Source organism: Homo sapiens, chromosome 17 (assembly GCF_000001405.40).
Source record: "Homo sapiens chromosome 17, GRCh38.p14 Primary Assembly".
NCBI classification, from domain to species: Eukaryota; Metazoa; Chordata; class Mammalia; order Primates; family Hominidae; genus Homo; species Homo sapiens.
Window position 1 is genome coordinate 23,021,717 of NC_000017.11, and position 25,675 is coordinate 23,047,391.

The 25,675-nt window shown below is 41.0% G+C and overlaps 1 annotated feature.

The window, feature by feature from the left end:
• Window positions 1-25,675: part of a centromere (Linear centromere model derived predominantly from reads generated in PMID: 17803354. This region does not represent an actual centromere sequence, as long-range ordering of repeats and unmapped WGS contigs is not provided by the model. For details of model production, see http://arxiv.org/abs/1307.0035.) that runs on past both edges of the window.

The following is a 25,675-nucleotide window of genomic DNA, read 5'->3' on the forward strand; positions in this document are numbered from 1 at the left end:
CATTCTCAGAAACTTCTCTGTGATGTTTGTGTTCAACTCACAGAGTTTCACGTTGCTTTTCATAGAGCAGATGAGAAACATGCTTTTCGTAGGGTCTGCAAGTGGACATTTGGAGAGATTTCAGGCCTGTGGTGGAAAACGAATTATCGTCACGTAAAAACTAGAGAGAAGCATTGTCAGAAACTTGTTTGTGATGACTGCATTCAACTCACAGAGTTGAAGGTTCCTTTTCAAACAGCAGTTTCCAAACACTCTTTCTGTGGCATCTGCAAGTGGATGTTTGGGCCTCTTTGAAGATTTCGTTGGAAACGGGATAATCTTCACAGAAAAGCTAAACAGAAGCATTCTCAGAAACTTCTTTGTGATGTTTGCTTTCAACTCACAGAGTTGAACTTTCCTTTTGAGAGAGAAGCTTTGAAACACTCTTTTTCTAGAATCTGCAAGTGGATATTTGGAGGGCTTTGAGGCCTGAGGTGGAAAAGGAATTATCTTCCCGTAAGAACTAGATAGATGCATTCTCAGAAACTACTTTGTGACGATTGCATTCAAGTCACAGAGGTGAACATTCCCTTTCAGAGAGCACTTTGGAAACTCTCGTTGTGTAGAATCTGCAAGTGGAGATATGGACCGCTTTGAGGCCTATGGTAGTAAAGGAAACAGCTTCATATAAAAACTAGACAGCAGCATTCTCAGAAAACTCTTTTTGACGACTGAGTTTGACTCACAGGGCTGAACATTCCTTTGGATGGAGCAGTTTGGAAACACACTATCTGTAGGATCTGCAAGCGGATACTTGGGCCTCTCTGAGGATTTCGTTGGAAAAGGGATACACCGCACAGAACTAAACAGAAGCATTCTCAGAACCTTCTTCGTGATGTTTGCATTCAACCCACAGTGTTGAACCTTTCTTTGATAGTTCAGGTTTGAAACACTCTTTTTGTAGAAACTGCAAGTGGATAACTGCACTTCTTTGAGGCCTATCGTAGTAAAGGAAATAACTTCCTATAAAAACAAGACAGAAGCTTTCTCAGAAAATTCTCTGGGATGATTGAGTTGAACTCACAGGGCAGTACTTTCCTTGGGATGGAGTAGTATTGAAACACACTTTCTGTAGAATCTGCAAGTGGATATTTGGACCTGTCTGAGGAATTCGTTGCAAACGGGATAATTTCAGCTAAGTAAACAGAAGCAGTCTCAGAATCTTCTTGTGATGTTTGCATTCAAATCCCAGAATTGAACCTTCCTTTGAAAGTTCAGGTTGGAAACACTCTTTTTGCAGGATCTACAAGTGGATATTCGGACCACTCTGTGGACTTCGTTCGAAACGGGTATATCTTCACATAACATCTAGACAGAAGCATTCTCAGAAACTTTTCTGTGATGACTGCATTCAACTCACAGAGTTGAACACTCCTTTTGAGAGCGCAGTTTTGAAACTCTCTTTCTCTGGAATCTGCAAGGGGACATGCAGACCTCTTTGAAGGTTTCGTTGGAAACGGAATCATCTTCACATAAAAATTACACAGAAGCATTCTCAGGAACTCCTTGGTGATGTTTGTATTCAACTTCCAGAGTTGAACTTTCCTTCGGAAAGAGCAGCTATGAAACACTCTTTTTCTAGAATCTGCAAGTGGACATTGGGAGGGCTGTGAGGTTTGTGGTGGAAAAGGAAATATCTCCGCATAAATACTAGATAGAAGCCTTCTCAGAAACTACTTTGTGATGATTGCATTCACCTCACGGAGTGGAGCATTCCTATTGACAGAGCAGTTTGGAAACACTCTTGTTGTAGAATCTGCTAGTGGAGATTTGGAGCGCTTTGAGGCCTATGGTAGTAAAGGGAAGAGCTTCACATAAAATCTAGACAGAAGCATTCTCAGAAAATACTTTGTGATGATTGAGTTTAACACACAGTAGCTGCACATTCCTTTGGATGGAGAAGGTTTGAAACACACTTTCTGTAGAATCTGCGAGTGGATATTTGGAACTCTCTGAGGATTTCGTTGGAAACGGGATAACTGCACCTAACTAAACGGAAGCATTCTCACAAAATTCTTTGTGATGTTTGCATTCAAATCCCAGAGTTGACCCTTCCTTTGATAGTTCAGCTTTGAAACACTCTTTTTGTAGGATCTGCAAGTGGATATTTGGACCACTCTTTGGCCTTCGTTCGAAACGGGTACATCTTCAAATAAAATCTAGACAGAAGCCTTCTCAGTAACTTCTCTGTGACGATTGCATTCAACTCAATGCGTTGAACCCTCCTATGGATAGAGCAGTTTTGAATCTCTCTTTTTGTGGAATCTTCAAGTGGATGTGTGGTCCTCTTTGAAGATGTCTTTGGAAACGGGAATATCTTCACATAAAAACTAAACAGAAGCATTCTCAGAAACTTCTCTGTGATGTTTGTGTTCAACTCACAGAGTTTCACGTTGCTTTTCATAGAGCAGATGAGAAACATGCTTTTCGTAGGGTCTGCAAGTGGACATTTGGAGAGCTTTCAGGCCTGTGGTGGAAAACGAATTATCGTCACGTAAAAACTAGAGAGAAGCATTGTCAGAAACTTGTTTGTGATGACTGCATTCAACTCACAGAGTTGAAGGTTCCTTTTCAAACAGCAGTTTCCAAACACTCTTTCTGTGGCATCTGCAAGTGGATGTTTGGGCCTCTTTGAAGATTTCGTTGGAAACGGGATAATCTTCACAGAAAAGCTAAACAGAAGCATTCTCAGAAACTTCTTTGTGATGTTTGCTTTCAACTCACAGAGTTGAACTTTCCTTTTGAGAGAGAAGCTTTGAAACACTCTTTTTCTAGAATCTGCAAGTGGATATTTGGAGGGCTTTGAGGCCTGAGGTGGAAAAGGAATTATCTTCCCGTAAGAACTAGGTAGATGCATTCTCAGAAACTACTTTGTGACGATTGCATTCAAGTCACAGAGGTGAACATTCCCTTTCAGAGAGCACTTTGGAAACTCTCGTTGTGTAGAATCTGCAAGTGGAGATATGGACCGCTTTGAGGCCTATGGTAGTAAAGGAAACAGCTTCATATAAAAACTAGACAGCAGCATTCTCAGAAAACTCTTTGTGACGACTGAGTTTAACTCACAGGGCTGAACATTCCTTTAGATGGAGCAGTTTGGAAACACACTATCTGTAGGATCTGCAAGCGGATACTTGGGCCTCCCTGAGGATTTCGTTGGAAACGGGATAAACCGCACAGAACTAAACAGAAGCATTCTCAGAACCTTCTTCGTGATGTTTGCATTCAACCCACAGTGTTGAACCTTTCTTTGATAGTTCAGGTTTGAAACACTCTTTTCGTAGAAACTGCAAGTGGATAACTGCACTTCTTTGAGGCCTATCGTAGTAAAGGAAATAACTTCCTATAAAAACAAGACAGAAGCTTTCTCAGAAAATTCTCTGGGATGATTGAGTTGAACTCACAGAGCAGTACTTTCCTTGGGATGGAGTAGTTTCGAAACACACTTTCTGTAGAATCTGCAAGTGGATATTTGGACCTGTCTGAGGAATTCGTTGCAAACGGGATAATTTCAGCTAAGTAAACAGAAGCAGTCTCAGAATCTTCTTGTGATGTTTGCATTCAAATTCCAGAATTGAACCTTCCTTTGAAAATTCAGGTTGGAAACACTCTTTTTGCAGGATCTACAAGTGGATATTCGGACCACTCTGTGGACTTCGTTCGAAACGGGTATATCTTCACATAACATCTAGACAGAAAGCATTCTCAGAAACTTTTCTGTGATGACTGCATTCAACTCACAGAGTTCAACACTCCTTTTGAGAGCGCAGTTTGGAAACTCTCTTTCTCTGGAATCTGCAAGGGGACATGCAGACCTCTTTGAAGGTTTCATTGGAAACGGAATCATCTTCACATAAAAATTACACAGAAGCATTCTCAGGAACTCCTTGGTGATGTTTGTATTCAACTTCCAGAGTTGAACTTTCCTTCGGAAAGAGCAGCTATGAAACACTCTTTTTCTAGAATCTGCAAGTGGACATTGGGAGGGCTGTGAGGTTTGTGGTGGAAAAGGAAATATCTCCACATAAATACTAGATAGAAGCCTTCTCAGAAACTACTTTGTGATGATTGCATTCACCTCACGGAGTGGAGCATTCCTATTGACAGAGCAGTTTGGAAACACTCTTGTTGTAGAATCTGCTAGTGGAGATTTGGTGCGCTTTGAGGCCTATGGTAGTAAAGGGAAGAGCTTCACATAAAATCTAGACAGAAGCATTCTCAGAAAATACTTTGTAATGATTGAGTTTAACACACAGAGCTGAACATTCCTTTGGATGGAGCAGGTTTGAAACACACTTTCTGTAGAATCTGCGAGTGGATATTTGGACCTCTCTGAGGATTTCGTTGGAAACGGGATTACTGCACCTAACTAAACGGAAGCATTCTCACAAAATTCTTTGTGATGTTTGCATTCAAATCCCAGAGTTGAAACTGCCTTTGATAGTTCAGCTTTGAAACACTCTTTTTGTAGGATCTGCAGGTGGATATTTGGACCACTCTTTGGCCTTCGTTCGAAACGGGTACATCTTCAAATAAAATCTAGACAGAAGCCTTCTCAGAAACTTCTCTGTGACGATTGCATTCAACTCAGAGAGTTGAACCCTCCTATGGATAGAGCAGTTTTGAATCTCTCTTTTTGTGGAATCTGCAAGTGGATATGTGGTCCTCTTTGAAGATGTCTTTGGAAACGGGAATATCTTCACATAAAAACTAAACAGAAGCATTCTCAGAAACTTCTCTGTGATGTTTGTGTTCAACTCACAGAGTTTCACGTTGCTTTTCATAGAGCAGATGAGAAACATGCTTTTCGTAGGGTCTGCAAGTGGACATTTGGAGAGATTTCAGGCCTGTGGTGGAAAACGAATTATCGTCACGTAAAAACTAGAGAGAAGCATTGTCAGAAACTTGTTTGTGATGACTGCATTCAACTCACAGAGTTGAAGGTTCCTTTTCAAACAGCAGTTTCCAAACACTCTTTCTGTGGCATCTGCAGTGGATGTTTGGGCCTCTTTGAAGATTTCGTTGGAAACGGGATAATCTTCACAGAAAAGCTAAACAGAAGCATTCTCAGAAACTTCTTTGTGATGTTTGCTTTCAACTCACAGAGTTGAACTTTCCTTTTGAGAGAGAAGCTTTGAAACACTCTTTTTCTAGAATCTGCAAGTGGATATTTGGAGGGCTTTGAGGCTTGAGGTGGAAAAGGAATTATCTTCCCGTAAGAACTAGGTAGATGCATTCTCAGAAACTACTTTGTGACGATTGCATTCAAGTCACAGAGGTGAACATTCCCTTTCAGAGAGCACTTTGGAAACTCTCGTTGTGTAGAATCTGCAAGTGGAGATATGGACCGCTTTGAGGCCTATGGTAGTAAAGGAAACAGCTTCATATAAAAACTAGACAGCAGCATTCTCAGAAAACTCTTTGTGACGACTGAGTTTAACTCACAGGGCTGAACATTCCTTTGGATGGAGCAGTTTGGAAACACACTATCTGTAGGATCTGCAAGCGGATACTTGGGCCTCTCTGAGGATTTCGTTGGAAACGGAATAAACCGCACAGAACTAAACAGAAGCATTCTCAGAACCTTCTTCGTGATGTTTGCATTCAACCCACAGTGTTGAACCTTTCTTTGATAGTTCAGGTTTGAAACACTCTTTTTGTAGAAACTGCAAGTGGATAACTGCACTTCTTTGAGGCCTATCGTAGTAAAGGAAATAACTTCCTATAAAAACAAGACAGAAGCTTTCTCAGAAAATTCTCTGGGATGATTGAGTTGAACTCACAGAGCAGTACTTTCTTTGGGATGGAGTAGTTTCGAAACACACTTTCTGTACAATCTGCAAGTGGATATTTGGACCTGTCTGAGGAATTCGTTGCAAACGGGATAATTTCAGCTAAGTAAACAGAAGCAGTCTCAGAATCTTCTTGTGATGTTTGCATTCAAATCCCAGAATGGAACCTTCCTTTGAAAGTTCAGGTTGGAAACACTCTTTTTGCAGGATCTACAAGTGGATATTCGGACCACTCTGTGGACTTCGTTCGAAACGGGTATATCTTCACATAACATCTAGACAGAAGCATTCTGAGAAACTTTTCTGTGATGACTGCATTCAACTCACAGAGTTGAACACTCCTTTTGAGAGCGCAGTTTTGAAACTCTCTTTCTCTGGAATCTGCAAGGGGACATGCAGACCTCTTTGAAGGTTTCGTTGGAAATGGAATCATCTTCACATAAAAATTACACAGAAGCATCCTCAGGAACTCCTTGGTGATGTTTGTATTCAACTTCCAGAGTTGAACTTTCCTTCGGAAAGAGCAGCTATGAAACACACTTTTTCTAGAATCTGCAAGTGGACATTGGGAGGGCTGTGAGGTTTGTGGTGGAAAAGGAAATATCTCCACGTAAATACTAGATAGAAGCCTTCTCAGAAAACTACTTTGTGATGATTGCATTCACCTCACGGGAGTGGAGCATTCCTATTGACAGAGCAGTTTGGAAACACTCTTCTTGTAGAATCGGCTAGTGGAGATTTGGAGCGCTTTGAGGCCTATGGTAGTAAAGGGAAGAGCTTCACATAAAATCTAGACAGAAGCATTCTCAGAAAATACTTTGTGATGATTGAGTTTAACACACAGAGCTGAACATTCCTTTGGATGGAGAAGGTTTGAAACACACTTTCTATAGAATCTGCGAGTGGATATTTGGACCTCTCTGAGGATTTCGTTGGAAACGGGATAACTGCACCTAACTAAACGGACGTTCTCACAAAATTCTTTGTGATGTTTGCATTCAAATCCCAGAGTTGAACCTTCCTTTGATAGTTCAGCTTTGAAACACTCTTTTTGTAGGATCTGCAGGTGGATATTTGGACCACTCTTTGGCCTTCGTTCGAAACGGGTACATCTTCAAATAAAATCTAGACAGAAGCCTTCTCCGAAACTTCTCTGTGACGATTGCATTCAACTCCAAGCGTTGAACCCTCCTATGGATAGAGCAGTTTTGAATCTCTCTTTTCGTGGAATCTGCAAGTGGATATGTGGTCCTCTTTGAAGATGTCTTTGGAAACGGGAATATGTTCACATAAAAACTAAACAGAAGCATTCTCAGGAAACTTCTCTGTGATGTTTGTGTTCAACTCACAGAGTTTCACGTTGCTTTTCATAGAGCAGATGAGAAACATGCTTTTCGTAGGGTCTGCAAGTGGACATTTGGAGAGATTTCAGGCCTGTGGTGGAAAACGAATTATCGTCACGTAAAAACTAGAGGGAAGCATTGTCAGAAACTTGTTTGTGATGACTGCATTCAACTCACAGAGTTGAAGGTTCCTTTTCAAACAGCAGTTTCCAAACACTCTTTCTGTGGCATCTGCAAGTGGATGTTTGGGCCTCTTTGAAGATTTCGTTGGAAACGGGATAATCTTCACAGAAAAGCTAAACAGAAGCATTCTCAGAAACTTCCTTGTGATGTTTGCTTTCAACTCACAGAGTTGAACTTTCCTTTTGAGAGAGAAGCTTTGAAACACTCTTTTTCTAGAATCTGCAAGTGGATATTTGGAGGGCTTTGAGGCCTGTGGTGGAAAACGAATTATCTTCCCGTAAGAACTAGATAGATGCATTTTCAGAAACTACTTTGTGACGATTGCATTCAAGTCACAGAGGTGAACATTCCCTTTCACAGAGCACTTTGGAAACTCTCGTTGTGTAGAATCTGCAAGTGGAGATATGGACCGCTTTGAGGCCTATGGTAGTAAAGGAAACAGCTTCGTATAAAAACTAGACAGCAGCATTCTCAGAAAACTCTTTGTGACGACTGAGTTTAACTCACAGGGCTGAACATTCCTTTGGATGGAGCAGTTTGGAAACACACTATCTGTAGGATCTGCAAGCGGATACTTGGGCCTCTCTGAGGATTTCGTTGGAAACGGGATAAACCGCACAGAACTAAACAGAAGCATTCTCAGAAACTTCTTCGTGATGTTTGCATTCAACCCACAGTGTTGAACCTTTCTTTGATAGTTCAGGTTTGAAACACTCTTTTTGTAGAAACTGCAAGTGGATAACTGCACTTCTTTGAGGCCTATCGTAGTAAAGGAAATAACTTCCTATAAAAACAAGACAGAAGCTTTCTCAGAAAATTCTCTGCGATGATTGAGTTGAACTCACAGAGCAGTACTTTCCTTGGGATGGAGTAGTTTCGAAACACACTTTATGTAGAATCTGCAAGTGGATATTTGGACCTGTCTGAGGAATTCGTTGCAAACGGGATAATTTCAGCTAAGTAAACAGAAGCAGTCTCAGAATCTTCTTGTGATGTTTGCATTCAAATCCCAGAATTGAACCTTCCTTTGAAAGTTCAGGTTTGAAACACTCTTTTTGCAGGATCTACAAGTGGATATTCGGACCACTCTGTGGACTTCGTTCGAAACGGGTATATCTTCACATAACATCTACACAGAAGCATTCTCAGAAACTTTTCTGTGATGACTGCATTCAACTCACAGAGTTGAACACTCCTTTTGAGAGCGCAGTTTTGAAACTCTCTTTCTCTGGAATCTGCAAGGGGACATGCAGACCTCTTTGAAGGTTTCGTTGGAAACGGAATCATCTTCACATAAAAGTTACACAGAAGCATTCTCAGGAACTCCTTGGTGATGTTTGTATTCAATTTCCAGAGTTGAACTTTCCTTCGGAAAGAGCAGCTATGAAACACTCTTTTTCTAGAATCTGCAAGTGGACATTGGGAGGGCTGTGAGGTTTGTGGTGGAAATGGAAATATCTCCACATAAATACTAGATAGAAGGCTTCTCAGAAACTACTTTGTGATGATTGCATTCACCTCACGGAGTGGAGCATTCCTATTGACAGAGCAGTTTGGAAACACTCTTGTTGTAGAATCTGCTAGTGGAGATTTGGAGCGCTTTGAGGCCTATGGTAGTAAAGGGAAGAGCTTCACATAAAATCTAGACAGAAGCATTCTCAGAAAATACTTTGTGATGATTGAGTTTAACACACAGAGCTGAACATTCCTTTGGATGGAGAAGGTTTGAAACACACTTTCTGTAGAATCTGCGAGTGGATATTTGGACCTCTCTGAGGATTTCGTTGGAAACGGGATAACTGCACCTAACTAAACGGAAGCATTCTCACAAAATTCTTTGTGATGTTTGCATTCAAATCCCAGAGTTGAACCTTCCTTTGATAGTTCAGCTTTGAAACACTCTTTTTGTAGGATCTGCAGGTGGATATTTGGACCACTCTTTGGCCTTCGTTCGAAAAGGGTACATCTTCAAATAAAATCTAGACAGAAGCCTTCTCAGAAACTTCTCTGTGATGATTGCATTCAACTCAAGGCGTTGAACCCTCCTATGGATAGGGCAGTTTTGAATCTCTCTTTTTGTGGAATCTGCAAGTGGATATGTGGTCCTCTTTGAAGATGTCTTTGGAAACGGGAGTATCTTCACATAAAAACTAAACAGAAGCATTCTCAGAAACTTCTCTGTGATGTTTGTGTTCAACTCACAGAGTTTCACGTTGCTTTTCATAGAGCAGATGAGAAACATGGTTTTCGTAGGGTCTGCAAGTGGACATTTGGAGAGATTTCAGGCCTGTGGTGGAAAACGAATTATCGTCACATAAAAACTAGAGAGAAACATTGTCAGAAACTTGTTTGTGATGACTGCATTCAACTCACAGAGTTGAAGGTTCCTTTTCAAACAGCAGTTTCCAAACACTCTTTCTGTGGCATCTGCAAGTGGATGTTTGGGCCTCTTTGAAGATTTCGTTGGAAACGGGATAATCTTCACAGAAAAGCTAAACAGAAGCATTGTCAGAAACTTCTTTGTGATGTTTGCTTTCAACTCACAGAGTTGAACTTTCCTTTTGAGAGAGAAGCTTTGAAACACTCTTTTTCTAGAATCTGCAAGTGGATATTTGGAGGGCTTTGAGGCCTGTGGTGGAAAACGAATTATCTTCCCGTAAGAACTAGATAGATGCATTCTCAGAAACTACTTTGTGACGATTGCATTCAAGTCACAGAGGTGAACATTCCCTTTCACAGAGCACTTTGGAAACTCTCGTTGTGTAGAATCTGCAAGTGGAGATATGGACCGCTTTGAGGCCTATGGTAGTAAAGGAAACAGCTTCATATAAAAACTAGACAGCAGCATTCTCAGAAAAATCTTTCTGACGACTGAGTGTAACTCACAGGGTTGAACATTCCTTTGGATGGAGCAGTTTGGAAACACACTATCTGTAAGATCTGCAAGCGGATACTTGGGCCTCTCTGAGGATTTTGTTGGAAACGGGATAAACCGCACAGAACTAAACAGAAGCATTCTCAGAACCTTCTTCGTGATGTTTGCATTCAACCCACAATGTTGAACCTTTCTTTGATAGTTCAGGTTTGAAACACTCTTTTTGTAGAAACTGCAAGTGGATAACTGCACTTCTTTGAGGCCTATCGTAGTAAAGGAAATAACTTCCTATAAAAACAAGACAGAAGCTTTCTCAGAAAATTCTCTGGGATGATTGAGTTGAACTCACAGAGCAGTACTTTCCTTGGGATGGAGTAGTTTCGAAACACACTTTCTGTAGAATCTGCAAGTGGATATTTGGACCTGTCTGAGGAATTCGTTGCAAACGGGATAATTTCAGCTAAGTAAACAGAAGCAGTCTCAGAATCTTCTTGTGATGGTTGCATTCAAATCCCAGAATTGAACCTTCCTTTGAAAGTTCAGGTTGGAAACACTCTTTTTGCAGGATCTACAAGTGGATATTCGGAACACTCTGTGGACTTCGTTCGAAACGGGTATATCTTCACATAACATCTAGACAGAAGCATTCTCAGAAACTTTTCTGTGATGACTGCATTCAACTCACAGAGTTGAACACTCCTTTTGAGAGCGCAGTTTTGAAACTCTCTTTCTCTGGAATCTGCAAGGGGACATGCAGACCTCTTTGAAGGTTTCGTTGGAAACGGAATCATCTTCACATAAAAATTACACAGAAGCATTCTCAGGAACTCCTTGGTGATGTTTGTATTCAACTTCCAGAGTTGAACTTTCCTTCGGAAAGAGCAGCTATGAAACACTCTTTTTCTAGAATCTGCAAGTGGACATTGGGAGGGCTGTGAGGTTTGTGGTGGAAAAGGAAATATCTCCACGTAAATACTAGATAGAAGCCTTCTCAGAAACTATGTTGTGATGATTGCATTCACCTCACGGAGTGGAGAATTCCTATTGACAGAGCAGTTTGGAAACACCCTTGTTGTAGAATCTGCTAGTGGAGAATTGGAGCGCTTTGAGGCCTATGGTAGTAAATGGAGGAGCTTCACATAAAATCTAGACAGAAGCATTCTCAGAAAATACTTTGTGATGATTGAGTTTAACACACAGAGCTGAACATTCCTTTGGATGGAGAAGGTTTGAAACACACTTTCTGTAGAATCTGCGAGTGGATATTTGGAACTCTCTGAGGATTTCGTTGGAAACGGGATAACTGCACCTAACTAAACGGAAGCATTCTCACAAAATTCTTTGTGATGTTTGCATTCAAATCCCAGAGTTGAACCTTCCTTTGATAGTTCAGCTTTGAAACACTCTTTTTGTAGGATCTGCAAGTGGATATTTGGACCACTCTTTGGCCTTCGTTCGAAACGGGTACATCTTCAAATAAAATCTAGACAGAAGCCTTCTCAGAAACTTCTCTGTGACGATTGCATTCAACTCAAAGAGTTGAACCCTCCTATGGATAGAGCAGTTTTTAATCTCTCTTTTTGTGGAATCTGCAAGTGGATATGTGGTCCTCTTTGAAGATGTCTTTGGAAACGGGAATATCTTCACATAAAAACTAAACAGAAGCATTCTCAGAAACTTCTCTGTGATGTTTGTGTTCAACTCACAGAGTTTCACGTTGCTTTTCATAGAGCAGATGAGAAACATGCTTTTCGTAGGGTCTGCAAGTGGACATTTGGAGAGCTTTCAGGCCTGTGGTGGAAAACGAATTATCGTCACGTAAAAACTAGAGAGAAGCATTGTCAGAAACTTGTTTGTGATGACTGCATTCAACTCACAGAGTTGAAGGTTCCTTTTCAAACAGCAGTTTCCAAACACTCTTTCTGTGGCATCTGCAAGTGGATGTTTGGGCCTCTTTGAAGATTTCGTTGGAAACGGGATACTCTTCACAGAAAAGCTAAACAGAAGCATTCTCAGAAACTTCTTTGTGATGTTTGCTTTCAACTCACAGAGTTGAACTTTCCTTTTGAGAGTGAAGCTTTGAAACACTCTTTTTCTAGAATCTGCAAGTGGATATTTGGAGAGCTTTGAGGCTTGTGGTGGAAAAGGGATTATCTTCCCGTTAAAACTAGATAGATGCATTCTCAGAAACTACTTTGTGACGATTGCATTCAAGTCACAGAGGTGAACATTCCCTTTCACAGAGCACTTTGGAAACTCTCGTTGTGTAGAATCTGCAAGTGGAGATATGGACCGCTTTGAGACCTATGGTAGTAAAGGAAACAGCTTCATATAAAAACTAGACAGCAGCATTCTCAGAAAACTCTTTGTGACGACTGAGTTTAACTCACAGGGCTGAACATTCCTTTGGATGGAGCAGTTTGGAAACACACTATCTGTAGGATCTGCAAGCGGATACTTGGGCCTCTCTGAGGATTTCGTTGGAAACGGGATAAACCGCACAGAACTAAACAGAAGCATTCTCAGAACCTTCTTCGTGATGTTTGCATTCAACCCACAGTGTTGAACCTTTCTTTGATAGTTCAGGTTTGAAACACTCTTTTTGTAGAAACTGCAAGTGGATAACTGCACTTCTTTGAGGCCTATCGTAGTAAAGGAAATAACTTCCTATAAAAACAAGACAGAAGCTTTCTCAGAAAATTCTCTGGGATGATTGAGTTGAACTCACAGAGCAGTACTTTCCTTGGGATGGAGTAGTATCGAAACACACTTTCTGTAGAATCTGCAAGTGGATATTTGGACCTGTCTGAGGAATTCGTTGCAAACGGGATAATTTCAGCTAAGTAAACAGAAGCAGTCTCAGAATCTTCTTGTGATGTTTGCATTCAAATCCCAGAATTGAACCTTCCTTTGAAAGTTCAGGTTGGAAACACTCTTTTTGCAGGATCTACAAGTGTATATTCGGACCACTCTGTGGACTTCGTTCGAAACGGGTATATCTTCACATAACATCTAGACAGAAGCATTCTCAGAAACTTTTCTGTGATGACTGCATTCAACTCACAGAGTTGAACACTCCTTTTGAGAGCGCAGTTTTGAAACTCTCTATCTCTGGAATCTGCAAGGGGACATGCAGACCTCTTTGAAGATTTCGTTGGAAACGGAATCATCTTCACATAAAAATTACACAGAAGCATCCTCAGGAACTCCTTGGTGATGTTTGTATTCAACTTCCAGAGTTGAACTTTCCTTCGGAAAGAGCAGCTATGAAACACTCTTTTTCTAGAATCTGCAAGTGGACATTGGGAGGGCTGTGAGGTTTGTGGTGGAAAAGGAAATATCTCCACATAAATACTAGTTAGAAGCCTTCTCAGAAACTACTTTGTGATGATTGCATTCACCTCACGGAGTGGAGCATTCCTATTGACAGAGCAGTTTGGAAACACTCTTGTTGTAGAATCGGCGAGTGGAGATTTGGAGCGCTTTGAGGCCTATGGTAGTAAAGGGAAGAGCTTCACATAAAATCTAGACAGAAGCATTCTCAGAAAATACTTTGTGATGATTGAGTTTAACACACAGAGCTGAACATTCCTTTGGATGGAGAAGGTTTGAAACACACTTTCTGTAGAATCTGCGAGTGGATATTTGGACCTCTCTGAGGATTTCGTTGGAAACGGGATAACTGCACCTAACTAAACGGAAGCATTCTCACAAAATTCTTTGTGATGTTTGCATTCAAATCCCAGAGTTGAACCTTCCTTTGATAGTTCAGCTTTGAAACACTCTTTTTGTAGGATCTGCAAGTGGATATTTGGACCACTCTTTGGCCTTCGTTCGAAACGGGTACATATTCAAATAAAATCTAGACAGAAGCCTTCTCAGAAACTTCTCTGTGACGATTGCATTCAACTCAAAGCGTTGAACCCTCCTATGGATAGAGCAGTTTTGAATCTCTCTTTTTGTGGAATCTGCAAGTGGATATGTGGTCCTCTTTGAAGATGTCTTTGGAAACGGGAATATCTTCACATAAAAACTAAACAGAAGCATTCTCAGAAACTTCTCTGTGATGTTTGTGTTCAACTCACAGAGTTTCACGTTACTTTTCATAGAGCAGATGAGAAACATGCTTTTCGTAGGGTCTGCAAGTGGACATTTGGAGAGCTTTCAGGCCTGTGGTGGAAAACGAATTATCGTCACGTAAAAACTAGAGAGAAGCATTGTCAGAAACTTGTTTGTGATGACTGCATTCAACTCACAGAGTTGAAGGTTCCTTTTCAAACAGCAGTTTCCAAACACTCTTTCTGTGGCATCTGCAAGTGGATGTTTGGGCCTCTTTGAAGATTTCGTTGGAAACGGGATAATCTTCACAGAAAAGCTAAACAGAAGCATTCTCAGAAACTTCTTTGTGATGTTTGCTTTCAACTCACAGAGTTGAACTTTCCTTTTGAGAGAGAAGCTTTGAAACACTCTTTTTCTAGAATCTGCAAGTGGATATTTGGAGGGCTTTGAGGCCTGAGGTGGAAAAGGAATTATCTTCCCGTAAGAACTAGATAGATGCATTCTCAGAAACTACTTTGTGACGATTGCATTCAAGTCACAGAGGTGAACATTCCCTTTCAGAGAGCACTTTGGAAACTCTCGTTGTGTAGAATCTGCAAGTGGAGATATGGACCGCTTTGAGGCCTATGGTAGTAAAGGAAACAGCTTCATATAAAAACTAGACAGCAGCATTCTCAGAAAACTCTTTGTGACGACTGAGTTTAACTCACAGGGCTGAACATTCCTTTGGATGGAGCAGTTTGGAAACACACTATCTGTAGGATCTGCAAGCGGATACTTGGGCCTCCCTGAGGATTTCGTTGGAAAAGGGATACACCGCACAGAACTAAACAGAAGCATTCTCAGAACCTTCTTCGTGATGTTTGCATTCAACCCACAGTGTTGAACCTTTCTTTGATAGTTCAGGTTTGAAACACTCTTTTTGTAGAAACTGCAAGTGGATAACTGCACTTCTTTGAGGCCTATCGTAGTAAAGGAAATAACTTCCTATAAAAACAAGACAGAAGCTTTCTCAGAAAATTCTCTGGGATGATTGACTTGAACTCACAGAGCACTACTTTCCTTGGGATGGAGTAGTTTCGAAACACACTTTCTGTAGAATCTGCAAGTGGATATTTGGACCTGTCTGAGGAATTCGTTGCAAACGGGATAATTTCAGCTAAGTAAACAGAAGCAGTCTCAGAATCTTCTTGTGATGTTTGCATTCAAATCCCAGAATTCAACCTTCCTTTGAAAGTTCAGGTTGGAAACACTCTTTTTGCAGGATCTACAAGTGGATATTCGGACCACTCTGTGGACTTCGTTCGAAACGGGTATATCTTCACATAACATCTAGACAGAAGCATTCTCAGAAACTTTTCTGTGATGACTGCATTCAACTCACAGAGTTGAACACTCCTTTTGAGAGCGCAGTTTTGAAACTCTCTTTCTCTGGAATCTGCAAGGGGACATGCAGACCTCTTTGAAGGTTTCGTTGGAAACAGAATCATCTTCACATAAAAATTACACAGAAGCATCCTCAGGAACTCCTTGGTGATGTTTGTATTCAACTTCCAGAGTTGAACTTTCCTTCGGAAAGAGCAGCTATGAAACACTCTTTTTCTAGAATCTGCAAGTGGACATTGGGAGGGCTGTGAGGTTTGTGGTGGAAAAGGAAATATCTCCACATAAATACTAGATAGAAGCCTTCTCAGAAACTACTTTGTGATGATTGCATTCACCTCACGGAGTGGAGCATTCCTATTGACAGAGCAGTTTGGAAACACTCTTGTTGTAGAATCTGCTAGTGGAGATTTGGAGCGCTTTGAGGCCTATGGTAGTAAAGGGAAGAGCTTCACATAAAATCTAGACAGAAGCATTCTCAGAAAATACTTTGTGATGTTTGAGTTTAACACACAGAGCTGAACATTCCTTTGGATGGAGAAGGTTTGAAACACACTTTCTGTAGAATCTGCGAGTGGATATTTGGACCTCTCTGAGGATTTCGTTGGAAACGGGATAACTGCACCTAACTAAACGGAAGCATTCTCACAAAATTCTTTGTGATGTTTGCATTCAAATCCCAGAGTTGAACCTTCCTTTGATAGTTCAGCTTTGAAACACTCTTTTTGTAGGATCTGCAAGTGGATATTTGGACCACTCTTTGGCCTTCGTTCGAAACGGGTACATCTTCAAATAAAATCTAGACAGAAGCCTTCTCAGAAACTTCTCTGTGACGATTGCATTCAACTCAAAGCGTTGAACCCTCCTATGGATAGAGCAGTTTTGAATCTCTCTTTTTGTGGAATCTGCAAGTGGATATGTGGTCCTCTTTGAAGATGTCTTTGGAAACGGGAATATCTTCACATAAAAACTAAACAGAAGCATTCTCAGAAACTTCTCTGTGATGTTTGTGTTCAACTCCCAGAGTTTCATGTTGCTTTTCATAGAGCAGATGAGAAACATGCTTTTCGTAGGGTCTGCAAGTGGACATTTGGAGAGATTTCCGGCCTGTGGTGGAAAACGAATTATCGTCACATAAAAACTAGAGAGAAGCATTGTCAGAAACTTGTTTGTGATGACTGCATTCAACTCACAGAGTTGAAGGTTCCTTTTCAAACAGCAGTTTCCAAACACTCTTTCTGAGGCATCTGCAAGTGGATGTTTGGGCCTCTTTGAAGATTTCGTTGGAAACTGGATAATCTTCACAGAAAAGCTAAACAGAAGCATTCTCAGAAACTTCTTTGTGACGTTTGCTTTCAACTCACAGAGTTGAACTTTCCTTTTGAGAGAGAAGCTTTGAAACACTCTTTTTCCAGAATCTGCAAGTGGATATTTGGAGGGCTTTGAGGCCTGAGGTGGAAAAGGAATTATCTTCCCGTAAGAACTAGATAGATGCATTCTCAGAAACTACTTTGTGACGATTGCATTCAAGTCACAGAGGTGAACATTCCCTTTCAGAGAGCACTTTGGAAACTCTCGTTGTGTAGAATCTGCAAGTGGAGATATGGACCGCTTTGAGGCCTATGGTAGTAAAGGAAACGGCTTCATATAAAAACTAGACAGCAGCATTCTCAGAAAACTCTTTGTGACGACTGAGTTAAACTCACAGGGCTGAACATTCCTTTGGATGGAGCAGTTTGGAAACACACTATCTGTAGGATCTGCAAGCGGATACTTGGGCCTCCCTGAGGATTTCGTGGGAAACGGGATAAACCGCACAGAACTAAACAGAAGCATTCTCAGAACCTTCTTCGTGATGTTTGCATTCAACCCACAGTGTTGAACCTTTCTTTGATAGTTCAGGTTTGAAACACTCTTTTTGTAGAAACTGCAAGTGGATAACTGCACTTCTTTGAGGCCTATCGTAGTAAAGGAAATAACTTCCTATAAAAACAAGACAGAAGCTTTCTCAGAAAATTCTCTGGGATGATTGAGTTGAACTCACAGAGCAGTACTTTCCTTGGGATGGAGTAGTTTCGAAACACACTTTCTGTAGAATCTGCAAGTGGGTATTTGGACCTGTCTGAGGAATTCGTTGCAAACGGGATAATTTCAGCTAAGTAAACAGAAGCAGTCTCAGAATCTCCTTGTGATGTTTGCATTCAAATCCCAGAATTGAACCTTCCTTTGAAAGTTCAGGTTTGAAACACTCTTTTTGCAGGGTCTACAAGTGGATATTCGGACCACTCTGTGGACTTCGTTCGAAACGGGTATATCTTCACATAACATCTAGACAGAAGCATTCTCAGAAACTTTTCTGTGATGACTGCATTCAACTCACAGAGTTGAACACTCCTTTTGAGAGCGCAGTTTTGAAACTCTCTTTCTCTGGAATCTGCAAGGGGACATGCAGAGCTCATTGAAGGTTTTGTTGGAAACGGAATCATCTTCACATAAAAATTACACAGAAGCATCCTCAGGAACTCCTTGGTGATGTTTGTATTCAACTTCCAGAGTTGAACTTTCCTTCGGAAAGAGCAGCTATGAAACACTCTTTTTCTAGAATCTGCAAGTGGACATTGGGAGGGCTGTGAGGTTTGTGGTGGAAAAGGAAATATCTCCACATAAATACTAGATAGAAGCCTTCTCAGAAACTACTTTGTGATGATTGCATTCACCTCACGGAGTGGAGCATTCCTATTGACAGAGCAGTTTGGAAACACTCTTGTTGTAGAATCTGCTAGTGGAGATTTGGAGCGCTTTGAGGCCTATGGTAGTAAAGGGAAGAGCTTCACATAAAATCTAGACACAAGCATTCTCAGAAAATACTTTGTGATGATTGAGTTTAACACACAGAGCTGAACATTCCTTTGGATGGAGAAGGTTTGAAACACACTTTCTGTAGAATCTGCGAGTGGATATTTGGACCTCTCTGAGGATTTCGTTGGAAACGGGATAACTGCACCTAACTAAACGGAAGCATTCTCACAAAATTCTTTGTGATGTTTGCATTCAAATCCCAGAGTTGAAACTTCCTTTGATAGTTCAGCTTTGAAACACTCTTTTTGTAGGATCTGCTGGTGGATATTTGGACCACTCTTTGGCCTTCGTTCGAAACGGGTACATCTTCAAATAAAATCTAGACAGAAGCCTTCTCAGAAACTTCTCTGTGACGATTGCATTCAACTCAAAGAGTTGAACCCTCCTATGGATAGAGCAGTTTTGAATCTCTCTTTTTGTGGAATCTGCAAGTGGATATGTGGTCCTCTTTGAAGATGTCTTTGGAAACGGGAATATCTTCACATAAAAACTAAACAGAAGCATTCTCAGAAACTTCTCTGTGATGTTTGTGTTCAACTCACAGAGTTTCACGTTGCTTTTCATAGAGCAGATGAGAAACATGCTTTTCGTAGGGTCTGCAAGTGGACATTTGGAGAGATTTCAGGCCTGTGGTGGAAAACGAATTATCGTCACGTAAAAACTAGAGAGAAGCATTGTCAGAAACTTGTTTGTGATGACTGCATTCAACTCACAGAGTTGAAGGTTCCTTTTCAAACAGCAGTTTCCAAACACTCTTTCTGTGGCATCTGCAAGTGGATGTTTGGGCCTCTTTGAAGATTTCGTTGGAAACGGGATAATCTTCACAGAAAAGCTAAACAGAAGCATGCTCAAGAAACTTCTTTGTGATGTTTGCTTTCAACTCACAGAGTTGAACTTTCCTTTTGAGAGAGAAGCTTTGAAACACTCTTTTTCTAGAATCTGCAAGTGGATATTTGGAGGGCTTTGAGGCCTGAGGTGGAACAGGAATTATCTTCCCGTAAGAACTAGATAGATGCATTCTCAGAAACTACTTTGTGACGATTGCATTCAAGTCACAGAGGTGAACATTCCCTTTCAGAGAGCACTTTGGAAACTCTCGTTGTGTAGAATCTGCAAGTGGAGATATGGACCGCTTTGAGGCCTATGGTAGTAAAGGAAACAGCTTCATATAAAAACTAGACAGCAAGCATTCTCAGAAAACTCTTTGTGACGACTGAGTTTAACTCACAGGGCTGAACATTCCTTTGGATGGAGCAGTTTGGAAACACACTATCTGTAGGATCTGCAAGCGGATACTTGGGCCTCCCTGAGGATTTCGTTGGAAACGGGATAAACCGCACAGAACTAAACAGAAGCATTCTCAGAACCTTCTTCGTGATGTTTGCATTCAACCCACAGTGTTGAACCTTTCTTTGATAGTTCAGGTTTGAAACACTCTTTTTGTAGAAACTGCAGGTGGATAACTGGACTTCTTTGAGGCCTATCGTAGTAAAGGAAATAACTTCCTATAAAAACAAGACAGAAGCTTTCTCAGAAAATTCTCTGGGATGATTGAGTTGAACTCACAGAGCAGTACTTTCCTTGGGATGGAGTAGTTTCGAAACACACTTTCTGTAGAATCTGCAAGTGGATATTTGGACCTGTCTGAGGAATTCGTTGCAAACGGGATAATTTCAGCTAAGTAAACAGAAGCAGTCTCAGAATCTTCTTGTGATGTTTGCATTCAAATCCCAGAATTGAACCTTCCTTTGAAAGTTCAGGTTGGAAACACTCTTTTTGCAGGATCTACAAGTGGATATTCGGACCACACTGTGGACTTCGTTCGAAACGGGTATATCTTCACATAACATCTAGACAGAAGCATTCTCAGAAACTTTTCTGTGATGACTGCATTCAACTCACAGAGTTGAACACTCCTTTTGAGAGCGCAGTTTTGAAACTCTCTTTCTCTGGAATCTGCAAGGGGACATGCAGACCTCTTTGAAGGTTTCGTTGGAAAGGGAATCATCTTCACATAAAAATTACACAGAAGCATTCTCAGGAACTCCCTGGTGATGTTTGTATTCAACTTCCAGAGTTGAACTTTCCTTCGGAAAGAGCAGCTATGAAACACTCCATTTCTAGAATCTGCAAGTGGACATTGGGAGGGCTGTGAGGTTTGTGGTGGAAAAGGAAATATCTCCACGTAAATACTAGATAGAAGCCTTCTCAGAAACTACTTTCAGATGATTGCATTCACCTCACGGAGTGGAGCATTCCTATTGACAGAGCAGTTTGGAAACACTCTTGTTGTAGAATCTGCTAGTGGAGATTTGGAGCGCTTTGAGGCCTATGGTAGTAAAGGGAAGAGCTTCACATAAAATCAAGACAGAAGCATTCTCAGAAAATACTTTGTGATGATTGAGTTTAACACACAGAGCTGAACATTCCTTTGGATGGAGAAGGTTTGAAACACACTTTCTGTAGAATCTGCGAGTGGATATTGGGACCTCTCTGAGGATTTCGTTGGAAACGGGATAACTGCACCTAACTAAACGGAAGCGTTCTCACAAAATTCTTTGTGATGTTTGCATTCAAATCCCAGAGTTGAACCTTCCTTTGATAGTTCAGCTTTGAAACACACTTTTTGTAGGGTCTGCAGGTGGATATTTGGACCGCTCTTTGGCCTTCATTCGAAACGGGTACATCTTCAAATAAAATCTAGACAGAAGCCTTCTCAGAAACTTCTCTGTGACGATTGCATTCAACTCAAAGAGTTGAACCCTCCTATGGATAGAGCAGTTTTGAATCTCTCTTTTTGTGGAATCTGCAAGTGGATATGTGGTCCTCTTTGAAGATGTCTTTGGAAACGGGAATATCTTCACATAAAAACTAAACAGAAGCATTCTCAGAAACTTCTCTGTGATGTTTGTGTTCAACTCACAGAGTTTCACGTTGCTTTTCATAGAGCAGATGAGAAACATGCTTTTCGTAAGGTCTGCAAGTGGACATTTGGAGAGATTTCAGGCCTGTGGTGGAAAACGAATTATCGTCACGTAAAAACTAGAGAGAAGCATTGTCAGAAACTTGTTTGTGATGACTGCATTCAACTCACAGAGTTGAAGGTTCCTTTTCAAACAGCAGTTTCCAAACACTCTTTCTGTGGCATCTGCAAGTGGATGTTTGGGCCTCTTTGAAGATTTCGTTGGAAACGGGATAATCTTCACAGAAAAGCTAAACAGAAGCATGCTCAGAAACTTCTTTGTGATGTTTGCTTTCAACTCACAGAGTTGAACTTTCCTTTTGAGAGAGAAGCTTTGAAACACTCTTTTTCTAGAATCTGCAAGTGGATATTTGGAGGGCATTGAGGCCTGAGGTGGAACAGGAATTATCTTCCCGTAAGAACTAGATAGATGCATTCTCAGAAACTACTTTGTGACGATTGCATTCAAGTCACAGAGGTGAACATTCCCTTTCAGAGAGCACTTTGGAAACTCTCGTTGTGTAGAATCTGCAAGTGGAGATATGGACCGCTTTGAGGCCTATGGTAGTAAAGGAAACAGCTTCATATAAAAACTAGACAGCAGCATTCTCAGAAAACTCTTTGTGACGACTGAGTTAAACTCACAGGGCTGAACATTCCTTTGGATGGAGCAGTTTGGAAACACACTATCTGTAGGATCTGCAAGCGGATACTTGGGCCTCCCTGAGGATTTCGTGGGAAACGGGATAAACCGCACAGAACTAAACAGAAGCATTCTCAGAACCTTCTTCGTGATGTTTGCATTCAACCCACAGTGTTGAACCTTTCTTTGATAGTTCAGGTTTGAAACACTCTTTTTGTAGAAACTGCAAGTGGATAACTGCACTTCTTTGAGGCCTATCGTAGTAAAGGAAATAACTTCCTATAAAAACAAGACAGAAGCTTTCTCAGAAAATTCTCTGGGATGATTGAGTTGAACTCACAGAGCAGTACTTTCCTTGGGATGGAGTAGTTTCGAAACACACTTTCTGTAGAATCTGCAAGTGGATATTTGGACCTGTCTGAGGAATTCGTTGCAAACGGGATAATTTCAGCTAAGTAAACAGAAGCAGTCTCAGAATCTTCTTGTGATGTTTGCATTCAAATCCCAGAATTGAACCTTCCTTTGAAAGTTCAGGTTGGAAACACTCTTTTTGCAGGATCTACAAGTGGATATTCGGACCACTCTGTGGACTTTGTTCGAAACGGGTATATCTTCACATAACATCTAGACAGAAGCATTCTCAGAAACTTTTCTGTGATGACTGCATTCAACTCACAGAGTTGAACACTCCTTTTGAGAGCGCAGTTTTGAAACTCTCTTTCTCTGGAATCTGCAAGGGGACATGCAGACCTCTTTGAAGGTTTCGTTGGAAACAGAATCATCTTCACATAAAGATTACACAGAAGCATTCTCAGGCAACTCCTTGGTGATGTTTGTATTCAACTTCCAGAGTTGAACTTTCCTTCGGAAAGAGCAGCTATGAAACACTCTTTTTCTAGAATCTGCAAGTGGACATTGGGAGGGCTGTGAGGTTTGTGGTGGAAAAGGAAATATCTCCACATAAATACTAGATAGAAGCCTTCTCAGAAACTACTTTGTGATGACTGCATTCACCTCACGGAGTGGAGCATTCCTATTGACAGAGCAGTTTGGAAACACTCTTCTTGTAGAATCGGCTAGTGGAGAGTTGGAGCGCTTTGAGGCCTATGGTAGTAAAGGGAAGAGCTTCACATAAAATCTAGACAGAAGCATTCTCAGAAAATACTTTGTGATGATTGAGTTTAACACACAGAGCTGAACATTCCTTTGGATGGAGAAGGTTTGAAACACACTTTCTGTAGAATCTGCGAGTGGATATTTGGACCTCTCTGAGGATTTCGTTGGAAACGGGATAACTGCACCTAACTAAACGGAAGCATTCTCACAAAATTCTTTGTGATGTTTGCATTCAAATCCCAGAGTTGAACCTTCCTTTGATAGTTCAGCTTTGAAACACTCTTTTTGTAGGATCTGCAGGTGGATATTTGGACCACTCTTTGGCCTTCGTTCGAAAAGGGTACATATTCAAATAAAATCTAGACAGAAGCCTTCTCAGAAACTTCTCTGTGACGATTGCATTCAACTCAAAGCGTTGAACCCTCCTATGGATAGAGCAGTTTTGAATCTCTCTTTTTGTGGAATCTGCAAGTGGATATGTGGTCCTCTTTGAAGATGTCTTTGCAAACGGGAATATCTTCACATAAAAACTAAACAGAAGCATTCTCAGAAACTTCTCTGTGATGTTTGTGTTCAACTCACAGAGTTTCACGTTGCTTTTCATAGAGCAGATGAGAAACATGCTTTTCGTAGGGTCTGCAAGTGGACATTTGGAGAGATTTCAGGCCTGTGGTGGAAAGCGAATTATCGTCACGGAAAAACTAGAGAGAAGCATTGTCAGAAACTTGTTTGTGATGACTGCATTCAACTCACAGAGTTGAAGGTTCCTTTTCAAACAGCAGTTTCCAAACACTCTTTCTGTGGCATCTGCAAGTGGATGTTTGGGCCTCTTTGAAGATTTCGTTGGAAACTGGATAATCTTCACAGAAAAGCTAAACAGAAGCATTCTCAGAAACTTCTTTGTGATGTTTGCTTTCAACTCACAGAGTTGAACTTTCCTTTTGAGAGAGAAGCTTTGAAACACTCTTTTTCTTGAATCTGCAAGTGGATATTTGGAGCGCTTTGAGGCCTGTGGTGGAAAAGGAATTATCTTCCCACAAGAACTAGATAGATGCATTCTCAGAAACTACTTTGTGGCGATTACATTCAAGTCACAGAGGTGAACATTCCCTTTCACAGAGCACTTTGGAAACTCTCGTTGTGTAGAATCTGCAAGTTTAGATATGGACCGCTTTGAGGCCTATGGTAGTAAAGGAAACAGCTTCATATAAAAACTAGACAGCAGCATTCTCAGAAAACTCTTTGTGACGACTGAGTTTAACTCAAAGGGCTGAACATTCCTTTCGATGGAGCAGTTTGGAAACACACTATCTCTAGGATCTGCAAGCGGATACTTGGGCCTCTCTGAGGATTTCGTTGGAAACGGGATAAACCGCACAGAACTAAACAGAAGCATTCTCAGAACTTTCTTCATGACGTTTGCATTCAACCCACAGTGTTGAACCTTTCTTTGATAGTTCAGGTTTGAAACACTCTTTTTGTAGAAACTGCAAGTGGATAACTGCACTTCTTTGAGGCCTATCGTAGTAAAGGAAATAACTTCCTATAAAAACAAGACAGAAGCTTTCTCAGAAAATTCTCTGGGATGATTGAGTTGAACTCACAGAGCAGTACTTTCCTTGGGATGGAGTAGTTTCGAAACACACTTTCTGTAGAATCTGCAAGTGGATATTTGGACCTGTCTGAGGAATTCGTTGCAAACGGGATAATTTCAGCTAAGTAAACAGAAGCAGTCTCAGAATCTTCTTGTGATGTTTGCATTCAAATCCCAGAATTGAACCTTCCTTTGAAAGTTCAGGTTGGAAACACTCTTTTTGCAGGATCTACAAGTGGATATTCGGACCACTCTGTGGACTTCGTTCGAAACGGGTATATCTTCACATAACATCTAGACAGAAGCATTCTCAGAAACTTTTCTGTGATGACTGCATTCAACTCACAGAGTTGAACACTCCTTTCGAGAGCGCAGTTTTGAAACTCTCTTTCTCTGGAATCTGCAAGGGGACATGCAGACCTCTTTGAAGGTTTCGTTGGAAACGGAATCATCTTCACATAAAAATTACACAGAAGCATTCTCAGGAACTCCTTGGTGATGTTTGTATTCAACTTCCAGAGTTGAACTTTCCTTCGGAAAGAGCAGCTATGAAACACACTTTCTCTAGAATCTGCAAGTGGACATTGGGAGAGCTGTGAGGTTTGTGGTGGAAAAGGAAATATCTCCACATAAATACTAGATAGAAGCCTTCTCAGAAACTACTTTGTGATGATTGCATTCACCTCACGGAGTGGAGCATTCCTATTGACAGAGCAGTTTGGAAACACTCTTGTTGTAGAATCTGCTAGTGGAGATTTGGAGCGCTTTGAGGCCTATGGTAGTAAAGGGAAGAGCTTCACATAAAATCTAGACACAAGCATTCTCAG